Raw genomic sequence first — 19,178 nt, forward strand, 5'->3', positions numbered from 1 at the left:
TTTCCCTCATGGTTAGTAACGTTGAACATTTTTTCACGTACCTGTTGGCCATTTGTATATCTTCTTTTGAGAAATGTCTTTTAAGGCAGTTTGCCCATTTTAAAAATCCGGTTATTTGGTTTTTTTTCTCTTGTTTTGGCTGTTGAGTTGTAAGAAAAAGTTCTAATAGTGGTTTCTGACCTAGGAGTAGGGAAAAAATTTGTCATCAATTCTTTCCCATCTTTGAAATATGACCCCTAAATGTTCATCCTTACTGTAGAAGACAACCTATGAGTGAAGTCCTCTCTCTCTTCTTCACTCATTGGGTATATTACTGGTATATCATTTAGTGTGTCAGGATGGGCACAGTGGCTCATGCTTGTAATCCCAGCATTTTGGGAGGCCAAGGCAGGCAGATCACCTGAGGTCAGGAGTTCAAGACCAGCCTGGCCAACATGATGAAAGCCCATTTCTACTAAAACTACAAAACATAGCCCGGTGTGGTGGCACATGCTTGTAGTCCCAGCTACTTGGGAGGCTGGGGCAGGAGAATCGCTTGAACCCAGGAGGCAGAGATTGCAGTGAGCTGAGATTGCACCACTGCACTCCAGCCTGGGCAACAAACTCCCTCTCAAAAAAAAAAAAAAAAATTTGTGTGTCATTTTTGTTATTTTCCCCCCAAAGTCTTACTTTTTAAATTATGTTTGCCTTGGGGGCATTTTATAAATTGGCTTGCATTTCTGAGTACAAACCTATGGGGAAACCTGATAAAATGCAAATTGTTGATTTGTGTGAAGGTAATCCTGTTAATCCCACAGTATCTCTTATTTTATTAGCTCTTCCCATGAGAGAGCAAGGAACCCATGCTAAGGCACAAGAGTTAAGCATTTGGATGGCAATTAAAATCAACAGGGCTGGGCGTGGTGGCTCATGCCTGTAATCCCAGCACTTTGGAAGGCCGAGGTGGGTGGATCACCTGAGGTCAGGATTTCAAGACCAGCCTGGCCAACATGGTGAAACCCTGTCTCTACTAAAAATACAAAAATTAGCCTGGCATGGTGGTGACAGAGTAAGACTGTATCTCAAAAAGCAAACAAACAAACAAACAAAAAACCAGATTGATTGCAAAGATTGCAAATTCTTAGATATAGGGACCAAGTCTACAAATGGTTTTTTGAATCCCTGTTTTGTGCAGGTTTGTGGTAGATGAGCTGGTGAGCCCAGAATTCCTTCCCAGTCTGGTCCCTTTGGCCCCTCAGTGAGACCTTTATTTATTTATTTATTTATTTATTTTTGAGACAGAGTCTCACTTTGTCACCCAGGCTGGAGTGCGGTGGCGTGATCTTGGCTCACTGCAACCCCTGCCTCTCGGGTTCAAGCGATTCTCCTGCCTCAGCCTCCCAAGTAGCTGGGACTACAGGTGTGTGCCACCACGCCCAGTGAATTTTTGTGTTTGTAGTAGAGACAGGGTTTTGCCATGTTGGCCAGGCTGGTCTTGAGCTCCTCATCTCAGGTGATCCACCTGCCTCACCCTCCCGAAGTGCTGGGATTACAGGTGTGAGCCACCACAGCCTGGCCTACTTTTTTCTTTTTTTGAGACAGAGCTTCGCTCTTGTCAAACAGGGTGGAGTGCAATGGCGAGATCTCGGCTCACTGCAACCTCCACCTCCTGGGTTCAAGCGATTCTCCTGCCTCGGCCTCCCGAGTAGCTGGGATTACAGGTGCCTGCCACCACAACCAGCTAACTTTTGTATTTTTAGTGGAGATGGGGTTTCACCATGTTAGCCAGGCTGGTCTCAAACTCCTGACCTCAGGCGATCTGCCTGCCTCGGCCTCCCAAAATGCTGGGATTACAGGTGTGAGCCACTGTGACCGGCCAAGACTTTTAAAGAAGATGGAGAGGAAAGGGGACGATGATTTGTCATTTACAGTAAGAATAAAGGAAGTATAGGCATAACTGCTGCAGAAGGATTTAAATTTAAACATGATGACGTCAATCTAAATAACAGAGAGGGAAACTCCAAAAGAAAATGATATTTATTTAGAAGTAGCATTGCAATAGGTATACACATGCCATAGAGGCTGGGCAAGTAGGACCTTTTTTTTTTTTTTTTTTTTTTGAGACGGAGTGTCGCTCTTGTTGCCCAGGCTGGAGTGCAATGTCGAGACCTTGGCTTACCACAGACTCCGCCTCCTGGGTTCAAGCGATTCTCCTCTCTCAGCCTCCCGAGTAGCTGGGATTACAGGCATGCACCACCATGCCTGGCTAATTTTGTATTTTTTAGTAGAGATGGGGTTTCTCCATGTTGATCAGGTTGGTCTTTAACTCCTGACCTCAGGTGATCCACCTGCCTTGGCCTCCCAAAGTTCTGGGATTCCAGGCATGAGCCACTGTGCCTGGCTCAAGTAGGAATTTTTATTTTATTTATTTTTTTAGACGGAGTCTTGCTCTGTCACCCAGGCTGGACTGGAGTGCAGTGGCTTGATCTGGGCTCATTGCAACCTCCACCTCCCGGGTTTAAGTGCCTCAGCCTCCTGCCTCAGCCTCCTGAGCAGCTGGGACTACAGGCGTGTGCCACCATGCCCAGCTAATTTTTGTATTTTTAGTAGAGACGGGGTTTCATCATATTGGCCAGGCTGGTCTCGAACTCCTGACCTTAGGTGATCCACCCGCCTTGGCCTCCCAAAGTGCTGGGATTACAGGTGTGAGCCACTGTGCCTGGCAAAGTGCTAGGATTACAGATATGAGCCACCAGGCCCGGTCGATAGTTTTTGTTATCAGGTATTCATGCGTGAGAACCCTCTCTTCATGGTCTTCCCTGGCTCCATTTGTCAGGGTTTTAAAACAAATGACTCTATTTTGATTTTGATAATTTTCACAAGGAATATGCTCTGTATATTCCAACAATCTGAGTTTCTCATCCTGGAATCAGCCTCTGAGTGGCACTGGGACTATCCTGAGTCAGCTACATCTCTAGAACCTATCAGGAGCGGCTCTATGAGCTTGGCCTCATCATTTTCCTCCTCAACTAGCAGCATCTGTATTTGTCTGTTTCTCAGTTTTCCTATTGATGTAATGGCCAGAACTTTCTTTGCCCCTCTTAACTTCTCTAGGAGGTTGGAGACATATGAGAGAAAGGAAGATTTGCCCTCCGTGCAAGCAAAACTAAAACTCTTCGGAATTATATTAGTAGCAACCTTTCTGCCCGACAGGGTGTGTGGAGGAGCTACACATTGTGTCACTTTTTTTCTTCTTCAATAGACTCTTTGAAATAGTTATGACAGACATTACTATCCCCATCTTGCAGACATACAAACTGAACCCTGGGCTTTGGTGAAAAGATGGATAGTAGAAAATAGGTTTAACTCCTGGTCAGGTGCTCACTGGTTTAATAGGAGCACAGGAGAGCCAGTTTTTTTGCGGGGAGAGATGGGGAGTGGACGCGTCTCCATTACCTTACATTCACATTTGTTTTGTTGATTAAAGTAACAATGGGTTGATTATTGATGACCACTGTATTATTCACCTGATGTTAATCATACTCCTAACAAATGATCAATTAGATAATTAGATAATTCACATTAGTATAAATACTCTAAATAGTCCTTCTCTGTCCTGGCAGAAATCCTCACGTCTAAACTCGGGGTCCTCTTTTTTTTTTTTTTTTTTTTTTAGTAGAGAAGGGGTTTCACCATGTTGGTCAGGCTGGTCTCGAACTCCTGACCTCAGGTGACCCACCCGCCTCGGCCTCCCAAATTGCTGGAATTACAGGCGTGAGCCACCGCGCCCAGCCGATGAGGTTCTCTTTCAACCTCTTGCGGATTCCCATTATCTATCTTAAACTACACTCTTTCAACCTCTTGCGGATTCCCATTATCTATCTTAAACTACACTCCCATCGTGCAACGGAAAACGGACAGAGCTCCTGCGTGCACCGAAGGGACTTCGAGCCAATCCATTGTCACAGCTCTCAGCCGGCGACCTATTGGCTCCTGCTGGAGGCGGGACTCCCGGTTGCTAGGCGGTACCTTTTCCGGAAGTGTTTGTTGCGCGCTGCAGGGCAACACCCCGGCGTCCCTGGAAGCTGGGGGAGCGGGTGGGTGTTGGGTGGCGTTGGGGGAGCTGCGCCTCGCCCAGAGCCTCGCCCGGAGCCTCGCCCGGAGCCTTCCGGGGTGGGGGATAGTTGAGGACCTCATCGAGGGAGGGGTTGGGCGGCGGGGAAGGGAGCGAGCGTGGCGGGGGACCCGAGGCACGCTCTCGAGCCAACGAGCGTGATGCGCTCGAGTGTGGGCGGGGACTGAGGGAAGAAGTGAAAATCGGACTGCCAGGCGACAGTTCCTCCGTTTGAAATCTCGCCGGCTCCTGAGCGGGCCACCGGGCCCGGGCTGGGGGTCTGGCGGGTGAGTGAGCAGCGGGTCGGGACGCGGGAGAGGGGCACTGGGCACGGGGCCCTGGTTTGCTTGCTCTGTTCATCGTTGGCGAGTGAGGCCAGGCCTTCCGAAGCTTGCTGGGATACTTCTGTGGCAGGCTTCCCCCCGGGTCCAAATCCGGGGCTAGCCCAATCTTATGCCATCTTTGGCCAGCTGGGAAAGTTGGAAAGCTTTTTTGTTTTTTCCTTTTCTTGCATTGGATTTAAAAATGTCCCTCTACCTCTGGCACCGCTCTCCTCACTTGGCTTCAGCGACTCCCTGTCCGTTCTCCTAACTCAGTCCTTGGCAGTAGAAAGCTCCCTTCTACTCGGCGCACTCCATCTCTTGCGTTATCAGCTTTTCAGCGTTGACTCGCCAAACTACTCCAGCCAGACCTCTTTCCTGAGCTCAGACCTGCTTACTGTCATCGTCAGCCTTCCCCGGTCCCTCCGATCTGTTTCTCCTCTTGTATTTTTTTATCTCAATGAAGGGCTTCACCATTCACTCAGCCAAGTCTGTCCCTTTAATTTATTCATCTAATAAATACAGCAAACATTTGTCGGACATGCCCTGTCTTCTAGGCAGTGTAGTAGGTGGGGCTGCCTATTGGACGAGGCATAGAAATGAACACATCTAGAAATGATAGTCACAGTGTTCTGGCTTTAGTGCTCTGATTTCCCTCCTCTCTCCCGAAGTTCAAGTCCTGTATTCTGCCTCTTAATTCCCCTAGAATCTGGCGCTTCCTTTCCATCCTCACAGACACTGACTTAGTTCATAATTTCTTGCTTGTGCTTTCAGGATAACTTCCTAAGTGGTCTCTCTGCCTCAGTTCTTGTCCTCCTGTAATTAGTTCTTATGCAGCTGTCAGAATCATTTATTTATTTTAGAGACAGGGTCTTGGTATGTTGCCCAGGCTGGAGTGCAGTTGGTATTCACCGGTGTGACCCTAGTACACTGCAGCCTCGAACTCTTGCCCTCAAGCCATCCTCCCACCTCAGTCTCCTTAGTAGACGGGACTACAGGCATGCACCACTATTCTTGGCTAGAATCGTCTATCTGACCTACAGATCTGGTCATGCCAGTCTCCTTTGTGAAATCCTGTGATGGCCCCTCATCATTTACAGGATAGAGCCTCTGTTCTTCCAGGCCCTTTATAATATGCTCTTGCCTTTCATTCTAGAGCTCTGTCTTGCCACTCCTCCCACTGTCCCTTGCACTCTGGTCATGTCAGAATGGTTAAGAGTTTGGGCTTTGGAGTCAGACATGGATACTTACATATTCTGCTCTACCGTTTATTAGCTGTGACACCTTGGGCAAGTTTGTTTGTTTGTTTGTTTGTTTTGAAATAGAGTCTTGCTCTGTCGCCCAGGCTGGAGTGCAGTGGTGCGATCTTGGCTCACTGCAGTCTCAGTCTCCTGGGTTCAAGCGATTCTCCTGCCTCAGCTTCCCGAGTAGCTGGGACTACAGGTGGGCACCACAACTCCTGGCTAATTTTTTGTATTTTGGTAGAGACGGGGTTTCACCATGTTGGCCAGGCTGGTCAGGATCTCCTGACCTCATTATCCGCCCACCTCCGCCTCCCAAAGTGCTGGGATTACAGGCGTGAGCCACTGCGCCTGGCCTTTTTTTTTTTTTTTTTTTTTTTAACTTTGCTAAGCCTCAGTTTCCTTATTTGAAAAGTGAAGATAATTCTATTTTGCTGAGTGGATGAAGTGAGATGATGTATATAGAGCACTCAGTACAGTTCCTGTAACATAGGAAGTGTTCAGTGGCTATAAGCTTTTGTTGTCATAATTAATTCTTTGCACCCACCTTATGATTTTCTTCTTTTTTGCCTTTGTGCATGTTGTTCCTCTGCCGTGAATTCCCTTACTCCGCTTATCCTGGGGATCACCTGCTTATCCTTCAAGAACTATCTCAATTGTCCTCTGTGAGGCTTTCCCTGATCTTCCTAAGATTATTTGCCCTTACCTTTGTGTTCTGTTATATATTATGTTACTTCCTTTAATTCATGTAACACATTTTGTAGTCATGTGTTTACGTGTTTGGCTTTCCAGGTAGGCTGAGCTCAAGTTCAGGGCCATGTGTAATCAGGTTTGTAGCCCTAACACGTCGCACAATGTCTGGCCCATGGTGGGTGTTCAGTAAGTGATTACTTGGCGCGGTGACTCACGCCTGTAATCTCAGCACTTTGGGAGGCCAAGGCGGGCGGATCACCTGAGGTCAGGAGTTCGAGACTTGGCCAACATGGTGAAACCCCATCTCTACTAAAAATACAAAAATTAGCCGGGCGTGGTGGCAGGCGCCTGTAATCCTAGCTACTCGTGAGGCTGAGGCAGGAGCATCATTTGAACCTGGGAGGCAGAGGCTGCAGTGAGCAGAGATCGTGCCATTGCACCCCAGCCTGGGTGACAAGAATGATACTCTGTCTCAAAAAAAAAGCAAAGAAAAAGTGATTACTTAATGTCTGAATGGCCTTAACTTATATTGCCTGGTGCTGGATATGTCCTTTGGAGCAAGGTAGAATAAACCCTTTTAAATAGGTGAATAGCAGTCATAATAATGTAATGTCTAACATTTATTGAGACCTTAGTATATTTTAAGCACTTTACATGTATTGAATCATATAAGCCTCACAACACATTGTGATGGATATTGTTAGTACTCTCATTTTATAGATGAGAAAACTGAGGCTGTCCAGCTAGTAAGAGGCAGAGCTGGGATTGAAAGCCAAGAATGTTCCAAAGCTTTTGCTCATTACCACTGCGTAATCAACTCTGACATCTTCCACCTTCTCCCCTTTACCTTCTCCAGTCAATCTTTTCTGTGGTCAACCTTCTTTGTAATTGTTGGAGCAGGGTGGAAGAAATAAATATACAGAGAACCCTCATTATGTCTGTGAGTGTATATTCTCTGTTAGTGTGCAGATGTGCAAAACTCTAGCTATGCTGACAAAGTACAGGGCAAGGTAGCCACAATATTGAAGGACTGGGAAACGATATGTACTGAATGGAAGAGAACTGGGAATACTTAGCCTACCTTAGCTAGAGAATCCTAGGGTGTCCCCAGATGAGCAGAAGGCAGACTTGAGATACCAGGGAACATTTTTTTAGAACCTGATTATTGGCTTACTATTAGACCTTCTAATAGTTAAGAATTATCTAACTATGGAATTGAAAATAGAATCTGTAATACTAGCTAAATTTGTGTAACTTTTCTGTATACAGGGACTGTGCTAGGCACTTTATAAGTGTTGTTTCATTTTACTTTCAGGCTTTTTGATTTTTGTTAAGATTGTTTTAATTATACACATGCAGTTATTGAGGCTGAGAGAGGTGAAGCACCTTGCCTAAGGTCATACAGCTGCTAAGTGAGAGAGCTGGGATTTGAATCCAGGTCTTCTGTCTCCAAAGCTGGTACTTTGACCACTATGCCGCCTGTCACTGGAAGCACAGAGAGGAAAATTTTGGCATGGGAAGGAAGGTGGACCAAAACTACTGCGGGTCTTCCTAGCTTCTGAGATTGCTGGTGTATTTTTTTTTTTTTTCAGATAGGGTCTCACTCTGTTGCCCAGGCTGGAGTATGGTGGTACAATCATAGCTCACTGCAGCCTCGAACTCCTGGTCTCAAGTGATCCTCCCACCTCTGCCTCCCCACTTTACACTCTTTATGTAACTCTGTCTTCCTTTCCATCTGATCACATAGCTCCTGCCTCAGCCTTCCGAGTAGCTGGGACCACAGGTGCACGCCACCATGCCTGGCTAATATATATATATATATATATATTTGTGGAGACAGGGTCTTACTATATTGCTCAGGCTGGTCTTGAGCTTCTAGGCTCAAGTGATCCTAGGCCTTGGTCCCCCATAGTATTGGGATTACCGGTGTGAGCCACAACACCCGGCCTATTCCTTGGTTTTATATTAGCAGTTACAGCAGTAACTGAGCTCCGACAGCTTACATAGGCTTATTTTAGGCTTTGTTGGAAAATTCCAGAGGAGGAGACATGGCCCTCAGAAGTTTGTGGTTTAACAGGAGAGGTAAGAAGACACATTTTCATAAAAAAAGTAATATTGGCCAGGCACGGTGGCTCACGCCTGTAATCCCAGCACTTTGGGAGGCCGAGGCGGGTGGATCACCTGAGGATAGGAGGTCGAGACCAGCCTGACCAACATGGAGAAACTGCATCTCCACTAAAAAAATACAGAATTAGCCAGGCGTGGTGGCACATACCTGTAATCCCAGCTACTCAGGAGGCTGAGGCAGGAGAATCGCTTGAACCCAGGAGGCGGAGGTTGCAGTGAGCCGAGATCGCACCATTGCACTCCAGCCTGGGCAACAAGAGCGAAACTCCTCTGTCTCAAAAAGAAAGAAAGAAAAAATAATAATATTGAGAGAAATCTGTCTGGGAACACATGAAAATTATGAGCTCAGTGCTAAGGTGGTTCTGGGTTGACAGGAGAGGATAAAATTGGCTGGGAAGGCTTCCTGGAGGAAACGTGTGAGCCACTCCTTTTTTGCCTGATTCTGAGATTGGTAGGAGATGCATGAGTGCAGTTGGGTGACCCCTCCTAACTCTGGCTCACAGAAGGTCTCAGGCTAGGCAGCAAGTAGATCTCACTGGATTTCATCTCATCTATTGGTAACTGCTACGTAGTGAACAATGTTGAGGGTTCTGAGGCCATGTCTAGGGTGCCATAATTGACTAGTGATGTCCTTCACAGTTTTAGGCCTGGAGGAAAATAGTAGGACATGTCCTATTTGTTTGCCATGGCAGATCTAAGGGCTGCATTCTCATTTATTGATTTATTTTAGAGACAGGTCTTGCCCTGTCACCCAGGCTGGAGTGCAGTGGTGTTATCATAGCTCACTGTAGCCTTGAACTCCTGGGCTCAAGGGATCCTCCCACCTGAGCCCCCCAAGTAGCTGGGACTACAGGTGTGTGTCACCATGCATGGCTGATATTTTTAATTTTTTGTAGAGACGGTCTCACTATGTTGACCCAGCTAGTCTCAAACTCCTGGCTTCAAGTGATCCTCCTGCTTTAGCCTCCCAAAGCCCTGTTATTACAGGTGTGAGCCACAGTGCTTGGCCCAAGGGCTGCATTCTTAGACTTCTCATCCTCTGTTACCACTCCAACTCAGGTTACCATTGCCTCTTACCTAGCCTAGCTCATGGTTTTCTACCTTATTTCTCTGCATCAGCCCTGATTTTCTTCTTTCCAATCTGGCCTCCGCTTTAGGGTGTACTCCTAGTAGCTTCTGGAGTAGTTTTTCAAAATGTGTATCTGGAAAAACTATTTCCTGGCTTCCATTCCTCTCTCTTTTTTGAGACAGGGTCTTGCTCTGTCACTGAGCCTGGAGTGTGGTGGCACAATCAAGGCTCACTGCAGCCTTGACCACCTGGGCTCAAGTGATCCTCCCGCCTCAGTCTCCCCTGTAGCTGGGACTACAGGTATACACCACCATACCTGGCTAATTTTTAATTTTTTTTGTACAGGGTAAGACAGGGTCGTCTTATGTTGCTCACGGTGGTCTTGAACTCCTGGGCTCAAGCGATCCTCCTGCTTTGGCCTCCCAAAGTGCTGAGATTGCAGGTGTGAGCCACTGTGCCCAGCCCTAGTTCTGTTATGATAAAGGGCAAGTCTGCATGGCCTGGCTCCCACTGGCCTCCCCAGCATCCTATCCAACTGTGCTGCTTCTTGCCTCGTGTTGCCTTCTGCTGAAGGACTTTTGCATGCATCTGTTAGAACACGCTTTCCTTTTTTTCTTTGTCTAGTGAATACCTACTCATCATTCAGTTCTCAGTGTAGGCATCATCTAAATCAGGCTTATTTCCTTCAGAGCACTTCCCTCGGTTCTAATTATACATTTCTCTGTGACTGATTGGTTTGTCTCCCTCCCTTCCCAGACGAGCTCAAGAGTAGCAGCAGCTGAATCTGTTTTTAATCACGATTGCATCTCTAGCGCCTAGAAATAAATGCACGTGGTAGGTGCCCAATAAATATTCCTCGAGTGAGTAGATGATCTTTAGTAGCCATCCTGCTACTACATACAGACAAATAGATATGACTTCTGTTCCCACGTTCCTTTTTTCTTTAACTCATTGGCCTTTTGGACCTGTCCTTGCCCACATCTTTTCTAGAGCCTGATAAGGTAAGGAAAGAAGGTAGAATACAACCCACCCATATTTTAATTTTTTTCTGGCAGAACATTTATTTGAATTTGGATGATCCATGAATTCAGATTTCCCAGAGTTTTCCTGATCTTTAAGTAGTTAAATATATCGCCAGGTGCGGTGGCTCCTGCCTGTAATTCCAGCACTTTGGGAGGCCAGGGCCGGTGGATCACCTGAGATCAGGAGTTTGAGACCAGCCTGGCCAATGTGGTGAAATCTAATCTCTACTAAAAATCCAGAGATTAGCCAGGCATGGTGGGGGTGCCTGTAATCCCAGCTACTCGGGCAGCTGAGGCAAGAGACTAGCTTGAACCTGGGAGACAGAGGTTGCAGTGAACCAAGATCGTGCCACTGCACTCCAGCCTGGGTGACAGACTGAGACTTCGTTTCAAAAAAAAAAAAAAAAAAAGGTAAATATAGATCATTATGTATATAGCAAATTAGTCTTGTTGCCATGTGGACAGAGACTACCTGTCCTGTGCTTGCTGGAGATGGGATGCATCTAGGGGATGACATTTCTCAAATGCAGAATTTCTCAAATTCTCTGAGGTAGTTAAGATAGTACCTCGTATAGAGCACATGCTTGGGAAGTGCTTATTCACCCTAATGTTCAGGCCACCATTGGGCCCTCCCTGCCCGTGGATCCTTTCCTTTTTTCTTCTCCTCTCCCTAAGAGGATTAAAGATTCAGGTGACTCTGTAAGCCACCAGGCAGTGGGCCCCATCTGCCACCCGGGTTCCTGGTCCTTTTCTGCTCAGCTTTTTAGTCAGCAGTGGTCAGGCCTGCGTCGCCTCTGACTGTGTGTGTAGCACAGTGGGGCATCATGTCTGCAGGATGTTACGGGTTCTTCTGAGGGTTGGGAGCACATTCCCACTTCAGCTTATGTACTGTTGAAAGAAGCCCTTTTCCTTTGGTGTTTTCTTCCTGCTTGGAGGTGGCATGGTGGGAATGAGGGGCAGAAGCTGGCTCCCTTCAGGTTCAGTGCACTGACAAAGGGAACCATGTCTTGTGAGTCCTAAGGCAGGACTCCTCTGTTGCCCACCCGTTAGCTGTCATGGTACAGAGGGGGGCCATAGTAAACAATCCCTGATGGATCCTTTGTTGCTTGTCAGGGGTCTCTAGGAACCTTGGAATAGGTTCAGAGTCTCCAGATCCAGCCATTTCCTTTCTAGGCCAGATCTTGACTTTTTTTTTTTTTTTTTTCAACCAGGAGAAATAACTTTATTTGGACTGAGAGCTGGAGAATGAGAATAGGACCTGAGAGTATATTGGGCTAAGGAGGAGAGGTAAGGTTCCAAAACGGCGGTCAAAGCTCATCGACTAAACGGACTCTACTTCCCACCAAACTTGCAGTTAGTGCAACCAACAAAAGGCCTGCTGGGGAATGTATTTGCCACTAAATTCCCCAAGTATGCCAACATTACAAAAAAGATAGAGGTTTCTAATCATAATTAAATTTCCACAAACCTCCCCAATCACAAGTATTATAAGCAGAAGTAAAAAAAAATCACATTTTACAGATCTCAAACTTGTCTTCAATATTTAGTTCATCATCTTCAAAAAAATAGCTCCCCTGCTAAACTCATTAGCTATCTGATCTATCCAAGCAGCAAGAAGATGGCCAGGCCATGGCAATCCTCTTCCCATTTTCCCTATCCATTCAGGGCTCAACAGCAGGGTGAGGCTCAGGTTGGGGGTGGGGTGGGGGGAGCACAAGGGCTACTTTCCCCCAGTACAACATGGCTTCTGAAGCTTGATGGGAGAGCAGAACTGGTGAGACTTGAGGGAAGGGTCCAGGGCCTGTATTCAGTCAGAATCGCTGCTGGAAGAGGAGGAGAAAGAGGAGGAGGAATGCTTGCCATGCTTTTGGTGCTTGTGCATCTTTTTATGAGCTTTCTTCATTTTATTCTGCATCTTCTTGTCCGCTGTCACTGCTGGTCTGACCATGCCAGGAGCCAAGAGATTCACAGGAGGGATTCCAGGGGCAGGCGGTGGGTATGGAGGAAGGTGGGGACCCGAGGATTGGCATCCTGGATACCCTGGCTGTGGTACAGGATGAGGGGCCCCACCTGGGAGGAAAGCTGGATTGCCCTGGGGAACTCCTAGGGGAGGAGGACAGGGGCCTGGGGGAAAGGGTGGATTGATAGGTGGTGGGTGGGCAGGATTGGAACCTCCAGGGCACCCAGTGTTGGGGGATATGGATTTGGCCCTGGCTGTCTGGCATTGGGATTCCACATGTTTAGGTGTGTCCTCCAGCCTTTCCACGGCTGCCTGGGCTTGATGCGTTCTACCAGATCCTGATGTTTTTAATGGCTGGGCCTTTCTGCTTGAAGAGGGCCGTTTCATCCTTGCTGCTCCAGGAGGAACAGTGGCAGCTTCTGAGGAAGTGGGGACTGGAGAGGTCAGGACTTGTGGCTCCAGACTCCTGTTGGTCACATTTGGTGTGGCCAACTGCTCTGCAGGTTGGGGAGGTGCTCTGAGCAGGTCTGTGTGTGGCAGCAGTTTCCCAGGCGACTTCCTTCATCAGGCTGCAGCATGGGAGCTGCCATGGGGAGAGTTGGTGGGAACTGGGGTCCTGAGGTAGGGGTGGGAAGAGAGGAGCAATTCTAGAAGTGCACCAGCTTCTCAGTTGAAGAATTTGGCACCGCCCCATCCCTGGAGCTAGAAACCTTGGATTCAAGCTGGACTTCTGTCTTCGCTTGGGCTGCCGTAACACAATACCGTAGACTGGGGGGCTCCAACAACAGAAATCTCTTTTCTCATAGTTCTGGAAGCTAGAAGGCCCATATCAAAGTCTGTTGCTGGTTCCTGTCTTGCAGACAGCTGCCTTCTTGCTGTGTCCTCAGATGGTAGAGAGAGACCTCTAAGCCACTAGACAGTGGGCCCCATCTGCTGCCCTGGTTCCTGGTCCTTTCTTCCTCTCCTTTTAATCCTATCAGGCCATTTAACCTTAATGACCTCATTTAACTTTAATTACCTCCTAAAGAACCAGTCACATTGTGGATTAGGGCTTCAATATGTGTATTTTTCTTACTTTGAGAGGCTGAGGCGGGAGCATTGCTTGCACCCAGGAGTTCAAGACCAGCCAGGGCAACATAGTGAGACACCATCTCTGTAAAAAAAAAAAAAAGTAAAATATATACATATGTGAATTTTGAAGGGATGTAGCTCCTTTCCACTTTTCCCCCATATCCTGGTCCTATTAAGCTTAACATCACTGGGTCTGTTCTGACTGTCTCTTCTTCATTCCCCTGCTTCTGCCCTAGTTAAAGTCCTTATCATCTCGCCCCTGGGCAGCAGCCTCCTCAGGTGGTTTTCCTGACACCAGTCTCTCATTTCTCCAATCCAGCCATGCCAGTCTTGCCAGAATTCTTGTCCTAAAAAAAGGCCACCCTGTGATACTTTGTTTCACCAGAGCCCTCAGTGACTCCCCTCTGGTGTAGGACAGGGTGGAGGCTCTTTAGCACGGTCTGCAAGGCTCACTGTGACCAGCCGGTCACACATGTTGGTATCCCCACTCTGGAACACCTGTCTGTGCAAGATGCTCCCTCTGTTTAGAATGCCTTTCTCCCCCATCAGAATTCTTGCCAGCCTTCCTTCCTTCCTTCCTTTTTTTGGGGAAATTTTTTGCCCTTATCTTAGCACTCTCAGAACAGGAAGTTTTTTTCCCTTCTGCCTTCTGCTGCTCTTGAGGTCGTTCCCGCCACTGGATTGTAAGCTTCCTGAGGGCATTTTGGATATGAATCGGGACATCCAGATGGGCATATGTGTTGAGATGGGGGTGTGCCACGGAGATGTGCTGGTGTATGGGGGTCTGTGCTGCTGGTTATTTTGGTGTCACTAGGATTTTTACTTGGTGGTTCTGTATTATAATTGTTTCTTCTATCTGGGGGAGGCACAAAGTCAAACTCTTGACAGAGCCAGGCTTGAAGATGTTTTGTGGTTCACCAGGTGTTCATCAAGCCTTTGGGAGACCTTTGCCAGGTGCAGAGCCTGTGAGCCTTGAGTTGTTGGTTTCACCCTCCACTATACCTGGCGCCTGGGAAGGCCCTGGCCAAATTGCTCTGCAGGGTCTGGTTTGACCCAGATGCTCCATGACCCAGTGCCAACTTTTCCCCTGTTAAGCTTGGTCACTGATTTTTCTCTTTTGGTGGGGGCCTCTGGGATCTAGGTGTTTGAGCCCAGATGAGTCATGGCTGGACGACCCCTCCGCATAGGAGATCAGCTGGTTCTGGAAGAAGATTATGATGAGACCTACATTCCTAGTGAGCAAGGTAACAAGTCTGTGAAGAGGCCTGTGGTGTATTGTGTTTGTTTTTTGAGGACAGGGATTGTCTGGTTTATTTTTATTCTTTCAGTGCAAAGTATGGTACATGTACAGAGTTGCTTAGTATATTCGGGTTAGATCAAATGTGAGCCTACCTTGGCCTCTTGCCTGTTTTTTTTTAAGTTTCTTTCTGTTGCCCAGGCTGGAGTGCAGTGGCGTGATCTCAGCTCACTGCAACCTCTGCCTCCCAGGTTCAAGTGATTCTCCCACCTCAGCCTCCCGAGAAGCTGGGATTACAGGCGTGCACCACCACACCTGGCTAATTTTTTGTACTTTTAGTAGAGACGGGTTTCACCATGTTGGACAAGCTGGTCTCGAACTCCCGACCTCAAGCGGTTTGCCTGCCTCCGGCTCCCAAAGTGCTGGGATTACAGGCGTGAGCCACCTTGCCTGGCTACTTGCCTATTTTTGTAAATACACCTTCATTGGAAAACAGCCACAATGGTTTATGTATTGTGTGTGGCTGCTTCTATGCTACAGCTGCAGAGATATGTGGCTGTTAAGAGAGGTATATGACCCACAAAGGGTAAGATAGTTACTCTCCGGTTGTTTACAGAAAAAGTTTGCTGTCTTTGGGTTAGAGCAGTGATTAGATTTAAATGGAAACATAGTAGGGGGTATCTAAATACAGTGTGTTCTGAGACCAGGGGAAACCCAATTTCCTAAGCACGAACTTAGAGCAGTGTTTTTTTAAACAACAATAACATTATTAGTAACAATAACAACATAACTTATTATGTGCCAGCGTCTGTTTTAAGCACTTTGCATGTATTACCTTATTACCTTTTCCTTTGTTTTTTGTTTTTTTTTTTTTTTTTTTTTTTTGAGACAGAGTCTCACTCTGTCACCCAGGCTGGAATGCAGTGGTATGATCTTGGCTCACTGCAACCTCTCTCTCCCGGGTTCAAGCGAATCTCATGCCTCAGCCTCCTGAGTAGCTAGAACTACAGGTGCCCACCACCACACCTGGGGAACTAATTTTTGTATTTTTAGTAGAGAAGGGGTTTTGCAGTGTTGGCCAGGCTGGTCTCAAACTGACCTCAAGTGATCTTCCCACCTCCACTTCCCAGAGTGCTGGGATTACAGGCGGGAGACACCATGCCTGGCCCATGTATTACCTTTTCAACCCTCACTGCAACTCCATGAGTTAGGTACTATTATTATCCCCATTTTACAGATGAGGAAATCAAGGCACAGAAAGATTAACTTCCTGTGGATATACAGTTCTATTCTAAGTGGTGTTGCTAGAATCCACCTCCAGGTATTCAAGCTCTAGGGCCTGTACTTTGTTCTTTGTTTTTTTTTGTTAGTTTGTTTTTTTTGAGATGGAGTTTCACTCTGTCGCCCAGGCTGGAGGGCAGTGGCGGGATCTCTGCTCACTGCAACCTCCGCCTCCCAGGTTCAAGTGAATCTCCTGCCTTAGCCTCCCTAGTAGCTGGGACTACAGATGCGTGCCACTGTGCTTGGGTAATTTTTTTGTATTTTTAACAGAGACGGGGTTTTGCCATGTTGGCGAGGCTGGTCTCAAACTGACAAGTGATCTCCCCGTCTTGGCCTCCCAGAGGATTGGGATTACAGGCATGAGCCACTTGTGCCTGGCCATAGGGCCTGCACTTTGAAGCACTATGCAATTATTTGGAGTGAAAGTTTCTTTGAAATTCTGACGAGTTATGATCTAGGCATACAAAGTTTGCTTATAATTCAGGTGGTTCATGGACTTGAGAGCAGGGTTCACAATTCTTGCATCTCTAGGAATACATGGATCTCATGTTAAATGCTGGACTTTGCTTATAGCATAGGGTGTTTTTTTTGTTTTCCATATTTTTGTTTTTAGAGACAGTCTTACTCTGTCACCCAGGCTAGTATGCAGTGGCTCCATCATAGCTCACTGCAGCCTTGAACTCGTGGGCTCAGGTGATCCTCCCATGTAGCTAGAACTACAGGTGCATGTCATGTGTCTGGCTAATTAAAATAAATTTTTTTGTAGGGATAGGCTCTCACTGTGTTGCCCAGGCTAGTCTTGAACTCCTGGGTTCAAGTGATCCTCCTGTCTGGGCTTCCCAAAGTGCAGGGATTACAGACATAAGCCACTACGACTGGCCTCTTTCTTTCTTTCCTACTTTCTCTTTAGAGACGGAGTCTCACTTTGTCGCCCAGGCTGGACTGCAATGGCGTGAGCTCGGCTCGCTGCAACCTCCAGGTTCAAGTGATTCTTCTGTCTCAGACTCCCAAGTAGCTGGGACTACAGGTGCACGCCACCACACCCAGCTAATTTTTGTATTTTTAGCAGAGACAGGGTTTCACCATATTGGTCAGGCTGGTCTTGAACTCTTGACTTCAGGTGATCTACCTGCCTCGGCCTCCCAAAGTGCTGGGATTACAGGTGTGAGTCACTGCACCTAGCCATGAATGGCCTGTTTCTTAAATTTGTATACATTTGGTTGCTGTTGTAAATGGAGTCAAAGGTTTTTCTAAGGATGTTTATAAAAACTTTCTTCGGCCCAGTCCAGGTGTAGGCATTCTAACCTCAAGCCACCATTTTCTCTTCCTGGGCTATCTCAGTAGCTTCCTAATTAGCCTTACTGTTTATAAAGCAGATCATGTCAGGGCTGTGCTTTTAGTCCCCCCGCATCCCCAGTATACTCAACATAACACCCTTGATGGGATTGCAGGGCTCTGTGACCTGGCTCTTTCTACCAGTCACATTGGCCTTTTTTTGTTGTTTGTTTGTTTTTTTTTTGAGACCGAGTTTCACTCTGTCACTCAGACTGGAGTGCAGTGGTGTGAACTTGGCTTATTGAAGCCTTGACCCCTTGGGCTCAAGTGATTCTCCCACCTCAGCCTCCCAAGTAGCTGGGACCACAAGTGCATACCATCAGGCCTGGCTAATTTTTGTATTGTGTTGGTAGAGATGGGGTCTTGCCGTGTTGCCCAGGCTGGTCTTGAACTCCTGGGCTCAAGCAATCCACCCACCTCAGTCTCCCAACGTGCTGGGATTACAGGTGTGCATCACCATACCTGGCTATACTGGCTTTCTGACAGTCCCCAGAGCTACTGGTTGTCACAGGTCCTTTGCACCTGTGCTTCTTCTGCCTGAATGCTCTTTCTCCAGTGCTCTGCATGGCTGCCTCCTTTCACTTATGCAGGTTTCAGTTAACTGTCAACATTGCTGAGAGGCATTCCTTGGCCATAATTTTTATTATTGTTATTATTATTTTGAGATGGAGTTTCACTCTTGTTGCCCAGGCTGGAGTGCAATAGCTCGATTCCTTGACCATCATTTCTAGAGGAATGCTCTTCCACCCTGATGTTCTCTAGCTCCTACCTCATTTACTTCCTTCTTGCATTTATCAGAAGCTTTAATTTTTTGTATATTTATCTGTTTACTTCATTGCTGGCTGTCTCTTTTACTAGAATGTAAGCTCCATAATGGCAGTGACTAGTTTTTTTCTTACTCATGGCTCATAGTGACTGGTACATAGGAGGCACTCAAAAATATTTGTGAAAAATGAATAAATTAGTCTCTGGCCAATCAAGTTCCAGGCAGTCCTTTGAAAAAATATTTTTTCTTTCCTAGTTCCCGGGTATGTCAACCTCCAGATTTTCCACTGAGATGGCTCATTGGTGATGCCCTTCTGGCCTGGGCTATTACCAGCTTAAGCATTGATGTCATTTGAATATTTATTTAATCATTTCTGGGGGTTCTGGTGACATGTTCCAACGGTTATGTCATTTATCTTTTTTCCTGTACGTGAGATAGCTCTTTTTTTTTTGGACAGGATTTCACTCTTGTTGCCCAGGCTGGAGTGCAATGGTGGGATCTCAGCTCACTGCAACCACTGCCTCCTGTCTCAAGCGATTCTCCTGCCTCAGCTTCCTAAGTGGCTGGGACTATAGGCACATGCCACCATGCCCGGCTACTTTTTGTATTTTTTATATAGACGAGGTTTCTCCATGTTGCCCAAGCTGGTCTCAAAGTCCTGAGCTCAAGTGATCTGCCCACCTTGGCCTCCCAAAGTGCTGGGATTACAGGCATGAACCACCATGCCTGGCTGAGATAGCTCTTAAGTCAGTACATATATCTCCACTGTCCTTCAGTTCTGTGGCAAAAGAGCTTTTTGAAATTCTTGATTTCCAGAGTACAACAAAATTTTTGTTTGTTTGTTTGTTTGAGATGAAGTCTTGCTTTGTCCCCCAGGCTGGAGTATAGCCTTGACCTTCTCAGGCTCATTGCTGGCTGTCTCTTCTACTAGAATGTAAGCTCCCACCTCAGCTTCCTGGGTAG

General features: G+C 46.9%; 1 protein-coding gene and 1 pseudogene across 73 annotated transcripts in view, besides 1 other annotated feature; one reads left to right on the forward strand and one right to left on the reverse strand.

The window, feature by feature from the left end:
* The window catches only part of CEP164 (centrosomal protein 164), a 91,489-nt gene that overhangs the window by 2,051 nt on the left and 70,260 nt on the right, over window positions 1–19,178 (forward strand). For 48 of the 73 annotated variants that reach the window (XM_006718788.2, XM_047426570.1, XM_047426578.1 and 45 more), the window contains exons 1-3: window positions 4,026–4,380; window positions 11,777–11,852; window positions 14,738–14,840. In XM_006718788.2, the coding sequence (XP_006718851.1) occupies window positions 14,759–14,840 (82 nt within the window). In that variant the 5' untranslated portion in view covers window positions 4,026–4,380; window positions 11,777–11,852; window positions 14,738–14,758. Of the gene's footprint in view, window positions 1–4,025; window positions 4,381–10,805; window positions 10,977–11,776; window positions 11,853–14,737; window positions 14,841–19,178 lie in introns of those variants that run through there. The other 25 variants (XM_017017367.2, NM_001440957.1, NM_001440951.1 and 22 more) reach the window with 6 other exon arrangements.
* Window positions 4,094–4,343: a silencer, noted in NCBI's record as "silent region_3938". NCBI's record gives its function as "represses an Ori minimal core promoter by ATAC-STARR-seq in GM12878 lymphoblastoid cells {active_cell/tissue: GM12878}" and the evidence as "EXISTENCE:reporter gene assay evidence [ECO:0000049][PMID:35858748]".
* Window positions 11,772–12,855, reverse strand: PRR13P3 (proline rich 13 pseudogene 3; annotated as a pseudogene).

The sequence above is a fragment of the Homo sapiens genome, chromosome 11, assembly GCF_000001405.40.
Source record: "Homo sapiens chromosome 11, GRCh38.p14 Primary Assembly".
NCBI classification, from domain to species: Eukaryota; Metazoa; Chordata; class Mammalia; order Primates; family Hominidae; genus Homo; species Homo sapiens.